Genomic DNA, 8,290 nt, shown 5'->3' with positions numbered 1-8,290 from the left:
AACAGCAGGAAATTAGACTGAAGTGGCTCTAGTGCCCTGTGCTCATAAGTAAAATATCTGAAACCTAACTTGAATGCATTTCTTACAAATTACTATCTTAGGATGAAAAAAATTCAGGCTTGGCCTATCATAAACCTGCAATTAACCTCTAATTATATAAGGAGGACATTTCTACCTGGAACATGCAAGTAAGGTGACTGCATAACTGTAACCAATTCTTGAATCTGGTTTGCCTTCTCAAGCACTTTATAAAACCTTTCCTTCATGCCCCTCACATGAGCCACAAACCACGGTTGGGCGCTTTTCATTTCACCAATCACTGTTTGCTCCAATGAACTCATTAATGTTTAAACACTGATGTTCTTTAACTTTTAGTAGGAGAGACCATACGTGGCGGCTCACTCCTGTAATCACAGCACTTTGGGAGTCCGAGGCGGGCAGATCACCTGAGGTCAAGGAGTTTGAGACCAGCTTGGCCAACAGGGCAAAACCCCATCTTTACTAAAAATGCAAAAATTAGCTTGGTGTGGTGGTGCACATCTGTAATCTCAGCTACTCTGGAGGCAGAGGCACAAGAATCGCTTGAGCCTCAGAGGCAAAGTTTAGAGTAAAGCGATATTATACCATTACACTTTAGCCTGGGAGACAGAGCTAAACTCCATCTTAACAAAAAAATTTAATAGCAGTGTTGGGAACAGGCCCCCCAAAATCTGGCCATAAGCTGGCCCCAAAACTGGCCATACACAAAATCTCTGCAGCACTGTGATGTGTTCATGATGGCCATGATGCCCACACTGGAAGGTTGTGGGTTTACCAGAATGAGGGCAAGGAACACCTAGGCCACCTAGGGCAGAAAACCACTTAGAGGCATCCTTAAACCACAAACAATAGCACGAGCGATCTGTGCCTTAAGGACATGCTCCCACTGCAGATAACTAGCCAAACCCATCCCTTTATTTTGGCCCATCCCTTCGTTTCCCGTAAGGGATACTTTTAGTTAATCTAATATCCATAGAAAGAATGCTAATGACTGGCTTGCTGCTCATAAATACGTGGGTAAATCTCTGTTCGATGCTCTCAGCTCTGAAGGCTGGGAGACCCCTGATTTCCCACTTTACACCTCTATATTTCTGTGTGTCTTTAATTCCTCTACCACCGCTGGGTTAGGGTCTCCCTGACCGAGCTGGTCCTGGCAAGTGGCATCCATCATGGGGGCTCCAATGCAGGTCAAAGGGTTGCCGGAGCGATGGTTGGAAAACATGGAACTAAGCTGGAGGACACCCGAGTACTCTTAAAGCAATCCCCGTGGTGAGTAAAAAGGGGAGCTCAGAAGCATCAGGGTAAAAATGGGACAAGTGTGGGGTCTGGTTTGTTCCACCTTGGAACTTTTTCACACTGATGATGAGGAGGAAGGAGAGTATAACGAATTAACAGAAGAGGTTACAGAGCAGGTTTATTTGCCAGCTAAAGCTAAAGCGGCAAAGGAGGGAGAGGTTCATTCCTACCCTTCTGCACCCCCTCATTATTATTTTGAAGAAAAAGACCCTCCAGATCTTTCTTTTCTGGAGGACACTGGGCAAAAAGTAGTTGCCCCAGTGACTGTTCGAGCGGCGCCCCGAGTGACTGCTCTTAGTTCTATTCAGGCAGGAATTCAGCAAGCTAGATGAGAGGGTGATTTAGAGGCTTGGCAGCTCCCTGTTAGAATACACCCTCCAGATCAACAGGAAAATATTATAGCTACATTTGAGTCCTTTCCTTTTAAATTACTCAAAGAATTTAAACAAGCTATTCATACTAAAAAAGAATGTAGAAATAATCAGCGAGTCAGGCCGCCAGATAGGGGAAAAAAGAAAACTGCTGAGCCTGAAATATTTCCAAAATGTAAAAAAGGAAAATATTGGGCTAATCAGTGTCATTCTAAGTTTGATAGAGGAGGGAACCCAATTTTGGGCAACACCATGAGGGGCCCATCCTGGGCCCCGTTCTAAACTGGGGCATTTCCAGCTCAGGCTGTACTCACCCCTGTACAATGTCTGTCCCCCGCCACAGCTGGTAATGCCACAGTAGATTTATGCTGCACAAAAGCTGTGAGCCTTCTGCCTGGGGAACCCCTGCAAAAGGTCCCAACAGGAGTCTGTGGACACTTGCCAGCGGGGACAATAGGATTACTTTTAGGAAGGTCTAGTTTAAGTTTAAAAAGGGGTAGAAATACATACAGGAGTCATTAATTCAGATTACAATGGGGAAATTCAAATTGTTATATCTACTTCTGTTCCCTGGAAAGCAGAGCCAGGAGAGTGCATAGCACAGCTCCTGATTGTGCCGTATATGGGAATGGGAAAAAGTGAAATTAAACAAACAGGTGGATTTGGAAGCACAAATATACAAGGCAAAGCAGTTTATTGGGTAAATCAATTACTGATAAACGTCCTACCTGTGAAATAAATAACTATTCAGGGAAAGAAAATTAAAGGTTTGGTAGATACAGGAGCGGACATTTCAATCATTTCTCTACAGCACTGGCCATCTGTGTGGCCAATTCAACCTGCTCAATTTAACATAGTTGGAGTTGGTAAAGCCCCTGAAGTATATCAAAGTAGTTATATTTTGCATTGTGAAGGGCCCGATGGACAAGTTGGGACTATTCAACCAATTGTAATTTCTGTACCTATAAATTTATGTGGGAGAGATTTATTACAACAATGGGGAGCACAAGTTCTAATTCCAGAACAATTATATAGCCCTCAAAGTCAATGTATGATGCATGAAATGGAGTATGTCCCTGGTATGGGACTAGAAAAAAATTTGCAAGGTTTGAAAGAGCCACTTCAAGGAGAAAAGCAAAGTTCTCACCAAAGATTAGGATATCATTTTTGATGGCGGCCATTGTCAAGCCTCCAGAACCTATACCTTTAAAATGGTTAACAGATAAGCCAATTTGGATAGAACAATGGTGGCTAAGTAAAGAGAAACTGGAAGCTTTAGAGAAATTAGTTACTGAACAATTAGGAAATGGCTCCAACATTTTCCCCTTGGAATTCTCCAGTTTTCATAACTAAGAAAAAATCAGGTAAATGGAGAATGTTAACTGACTTAAGAGCTATCAATTCAGTTATACAACCTATGGGAGCATTACAGCAAGGATTGCCTTCTCCTGCTATAATTCCAAAAAATTGTCCTTTAATAGTCATAGATTTAAAAGACTGTTTCTTTACTATCCCTTTAGCCTAGCAAGACTGTGAACGGTTTGCATTTACAATTCCTGTGGTAAACAACCTGCAGCCTGCTAAGTGTTTTCATTGTTTTACAGATGGGTCTAGTAATGGTAAAGCTTCTTATTCTGGCTTGAAAAGTAAAGTTTTCCAGACTCCCTATAAAAAGCAAAGCTTGTAGCTGTAATTGAGGTATTGACTGCTTTTGATATGCCTATTAATGTGATTTCCGATTCTTCATATGTGGTTCATTCCACACAGTTAATTGAAAATGCTCAGTTACGATTTCATACAGATGAACAACTGATAACAAAAGCAAAAAAGGGGGCGAAATAGGGATTATGGGACAGCCCCTACACAATTGAATCTAGCATTATTAACTTTAAATTTTTTGAGCCTGACCAAAGGCCAGATGTTATCAGCAGCTGAACAGCATCTACAGAAACCAGCTGCAAAGACAGAAGCAGAACAACTGGTTTGGTGGAGAGATCTGATAACAAAAAGTTGGGAAATAGGTAAAATAATAACTTGGGGTAGCGGTTATGCTTATGTTTCTCCAGGCCAAAAGCAATAGCCGATTTGGATACCATCAAGACACCTGAAACCTTATCATGAGCCAGATGCCAAGGAAGAGACTCTGGGAGGATCCCAAGGACCCCCTGGTTGCAGCCATGTCAAGACTGACACTGAGAAGGACCCCAACTGTCATGAGCAACACCCATTGAACACAGCCACCCACTTGGGGACAGATCAAGAAGCTGTCACAGATGGTGAAAGAAAACCTGAGGAAAGTGGGACAACCAGTCACCATGAGTAATTTAATGGCAGCTATGATAGCAATGATCACCACTGCCATGAGTATTCCTTCAACAAAGGCTGACACAGAGAACAATTATACTTATTAGGCATATTTATCAATCTTAGCTGGAAATGATGCCTGGATGTAATCACTCTATGGCACAGTTACACATGCTTTCTGATCTCAGTATTTACCATAATAAATCTGCTGCTACATTGAGGCATACTGCCCTCAAAAACCTATTTGTAACAAAATTGACCTGGCCAGAAAATATGAATGTACTTGTTTAGGAAGATTGCATTGCAGAACAGGCAGAGGTGCTGCACAATGATTCCTATGGAATCATTGGTCCCCTAAGGGGATGTTTGGCTTGAATTGCACTTCTCAGTCTGCGTGCCATGGCCACACTATGTTCATATGGTCTGAACAAAATGGTCAGATGGTAGAAATGATAAAAAGTATGGCAAGAGTTCCTATTATCTGGAACAATGGTGGTATAGTGGCACCTCAACCTCAAAAGATATGGCCCATTGTAGGAGCTAAACATAAGGATTTGTGGCTTAATAAGATCAAAATTTGGGAAAGAATAAAAAAGCATCTAGAAAGACACTCTACAAACTTGTTTTTGGATAAAAGAACAAATATTTAAAGCATCCCAGGCACACCTGACCTTACTGCCAAGAACTGGAGTGCTTAAAGGAGCTGCAGACAGATTAGCAGCTAGTAACCCATTAAAATGGATAAAAACACTTGGAAACTCTGTGATTTCAATGATGATTGTACTTTTAATCTGTGTTGTTTGTCATTGTATAGTCCGCAGATGTGGATCCTGACTCCTGTGAGAAGTAGCTCACCGTGACAAAGCTGCCCTTGCTTTTATCGCTTTGCAAATCAAAGAAAGGGGACATGTTGGGAACAGGCCCCCCCCCAAAATCTGGCCATAAACTGGCCATAAGCAAAATCTTTGCAGCACTGTGACATGTTCAAAATGGCCATGATGCCCATGCTGGAAGGTTGTGGGTTTACTGGAATGAGGGCAAGGAACACCTGGGCCATCCAGGGCAGAAAACCACTTAAAGGCATTCTTAAACCACAAATGATAGCATGAGTGATCTGTGCCTTAAGGACATGCTACTGCTGCAGACAACTAGCCAAACCCATCCCCTTATTTCAGCCCATCCCTTTGTTTCCTATAAGGGATACTTTTAGTTAATCTAATATCTACAGAAACAATGCTAATGACTCGTTTGCTATTAATAAATATGTGGGTAAATCTCTGTTCGAGGCTCTCAGCTGAAGGGAGCAGCCCCACAGGGTCGGTGGGTCTCTCCCCATGTGTGGAGGTGAGAGAGTGTAGAAATAAAGACACAAGACAAAGAGATAAAAGAAAAGAGAGCTGGGCTTGGGGGACCACTACCACCAAGTCACAGAGACCGGTAGTGGCTCCGAATGTCTGGCTGTGCTGTTATTTAATGGATACAAAGCAAAAGGGGCAGGGTAAAGAGTGTGAGTCATCTCCAATGATAGGTAAGGTCATGTGGGTCACATGTCCACTGGACAGGGGGCCCTTCCCTGCCTGGCAGCTGAGGCAGAGAGGGAGCAGAGACAGAGAGAAAGACAGCTTATGCCACTATTTCTGCATATCAGAGACTTTTAATACTTTCACTAATTTACTACTGCTATCTAGAAGGCAGAGCCAGGTGTACAGGATGGAACACGAAGGTGGACTAGGAGCATGACCACTGAAGCACAGCATCACAGGGAGATGGTTAGGCCTCAGGATAACCACAGGTGAGCCTGACTAATGTTAGGCCCTCCACAAGAGGTGGAGGAGTAGAGTCTTCTCTAAACTCCCCCGGGGAAAGGGAGACTCCCTTTCCCAGTCTGCTAAGTAGCCGGTGTTTTTCCTTGACACTGAGGCTACCGCTAGACCACGGTCCGCTCGGCAATGGGCGTCTTCCCAGACGCTGACATTACTACTAGACCAAGGAGTCCTCTGGTGGCCCTGTCCGGGCATAACAGAAGGCTCGCACTCTTGTCTTCTGGTCACTCCTCACTATGTCCCCTCAGCTCCTATCTCTGTACGGCCTGGTTTTTCCTAGGTTATGATTATAGAGCAAGGATTATTATAATATTGGAATAAAGAGTAATTGCTACAAACTAATGATCAATGATATTCATATATAATCATATCTAAGATGTATATCTGGTATAACTATTCTTGTTTTATACTTTATTATACTGGAACAGCTTGTGTCCTCGGTCTCTTGCCTTGGCACCTGGGTGACTTGCTGCCCACATCAGCTCTGAAGGCTGTGAGACCCCTGATTTCCCACTTTACACCTCTATATTTCTGTGTGTGTGTCTTTAATTCCTCTAGTGCCACTGGGTTAGGGTCTCCCCGGCCAAGCTGGTCTCGACACCAGAGAGACTGGGGACCCCAGGGCTGCAGCTCCTCCCACACATACACTGAGTTGAGTTTCTGCCCTGATGACCTGTCTAGCATCTCTGAACACTCTGGGAAGACTCTGGGAACAATCTGCAGGTGCAGAGCTGCTGTTAGAAACAAATGCTCAGTCCCACAAAGGAGAATCAGCACTCTGGCAAAAAGCTTTCTCAGCAAGGCAATTTAGTTCTGCAGAAGGTTGCAGCTTGTGCCAGTCACAATTGCAAGAGCATATCGAACAAGGAAGGGAAGGGGCTTTTATCCCTAAAACAGTTAGTCCCCGTTGCTGTGTCATTGGGGCTGGAATGCACAATCTAAGCTAATCCTGATTGGCTATTTCAAATGGGGCAGAGGTGTGGGTTACAGTGGCAGTAAGAGCAGTTTGGACAGAAGGTCAGTTACAGAGCGGGTAATCAAGGGAACAGATGTGAGTTATAGATTAGGACTGGTGGGAAGGTTGTTTACCATAACTAGGGGCAAGGAGCTGCAAAGAATGAGGAAGTTAGGCTTTGAAAATTGAGATCAAAGAACAAGGAAGCTGAACAAGTTGACTCTTTGAAGAGGAACTCACTGTACCTAACACTGCCCAGAGAGTTCCAGATAGGGGGCCGTGCAGGGATGGGGAAGGATGCAAGGGTCCCAGCTGCAGGCCCAGTCACCATCTTGCAGCCAGAGGGGCCTGGAGCAGAGCTGCACCACCAGGGACTCAGGTCACGACTGGGAGCTGACTGTTGGGTGGCTGGTCCTGCTGGATTCACAGCCCAGGCTGGAGTGCAATGGCGCGATCTCAGCTCACTGCAACCTCTGACTCCTGGATTCAAGCAATTGTCCTGCCTCAGCCTCCTGAGTAGCTGGGATTACAGGTGCCAGCCACCAGGCCCAGCTGATTTTTGTATTTTTAGTGGAGATGGAGTTTCACCATTTTGGCCAGGCTGGTCTTGAACTCCTGACTTCATGATCAGCTTGCCTCAGCCTCCCAAAGTGCTGGGATTACAGGCATGAGCCACTGAACCTGGCCAAAAAAAAAAAAAAAACTTTTTAAAAAAGTTGTCTAAATATTCCTCTTCTTACCCTTAATTAGCCAATAAGGTGCATTATACAAGCCAACCCAGGTAAGGAAAAAAGCAAGTGCATTTCAAGTCTCAGCTCTCTTCTTAATTAGTTGCAGTACTCTGGGCATGTGACCCTGCATACTTGAACCTGTTTCCCAGTCCATAAAATGCAGTAATGCTGGGGAGGGTGGAGGTGGGATGTGGGTCCTGGAGCTTTATCCAATCAGTGGTGCTGGCATGGGAACTGCCCAATCAGGCTCTCAGAGAGGAGGGCGTGGCTTCTAGCATTTGGTGGGCCTTTTTCTCCCTCCCTCCAGAGCTTGGAATTCATTTCCACTGTTCTGCGTCCTCTTCCGGTTTTGCGTCCTCCTCCTTGGGAGCCCCCAGTGACTCTGTCACAGCCTCTGTTGCCCTGTGATGCAGGTCCTGGGAGACGCATAGCTAAGATGCCAGGACATCCTGGAAGCTGGGAAATGGTGAGTATGCAGGGTTGGGCATCCAGAGAGGGGAGACCAGGCTGTGAAATCACGGGACCGGCCTCCCCAGAGTCTGCTCCCATGTTGCCGTCCTGAGTCCCCACTGGCTCGGCTCCTCCCCAGGCCCTCTGGCTGCAAGATGGCAGGTGGGCCTGCAGCCAGGACCCTGGCATCGCACCTGGTGCCTGGGGGGCGCCCTACATGGAGCTCTCTGGGCAGCTCTGCACCTGCAGCCCCGAGTATTTCCCAGAGTGTTCAGGGATGCCAGGGGGGTCATCAGGGCAGAATCCTGACTTGGTGTGTGC

The 8,290-nt window shown here is 45.4% G+C and overlaps 1 annotated feature.

Annotated features, from left to right (window-relative positions):
- Positions 7,904–8,198: a silencer, noted in NCBI's record as "tiled region #124; K562 Repressive non-DNase unmatched - State 2:TssF". NCBI's record gives its function as "represses a minimal TATA promoter and a strong SV40 promoter by Sharpr-MPRA in K562 cells {active_cell/tissue: K562}" and the evidence as "EXISTENCE:reporter gene assay evidence [ECO:0000049][PMID:27701403]".

This window comes from Homo sapiens, chromosome 19 (assembly GCF_000001405.40).
Source record: "Homo sapiens chromosome 19, GRCh38.p14 Primary Assembly".
Classification (NCBI taxonomy): domain Eukaryota; kingdom Metazoa; phylum Chordata; class Mammalia; order Primates; family Hominidae; genus Homo; species Homo sapiens.
Note: the sequence above shows the minus strand (reverse complement) of the source record. Positions and strands in the feature narration are given on the sequence as shown.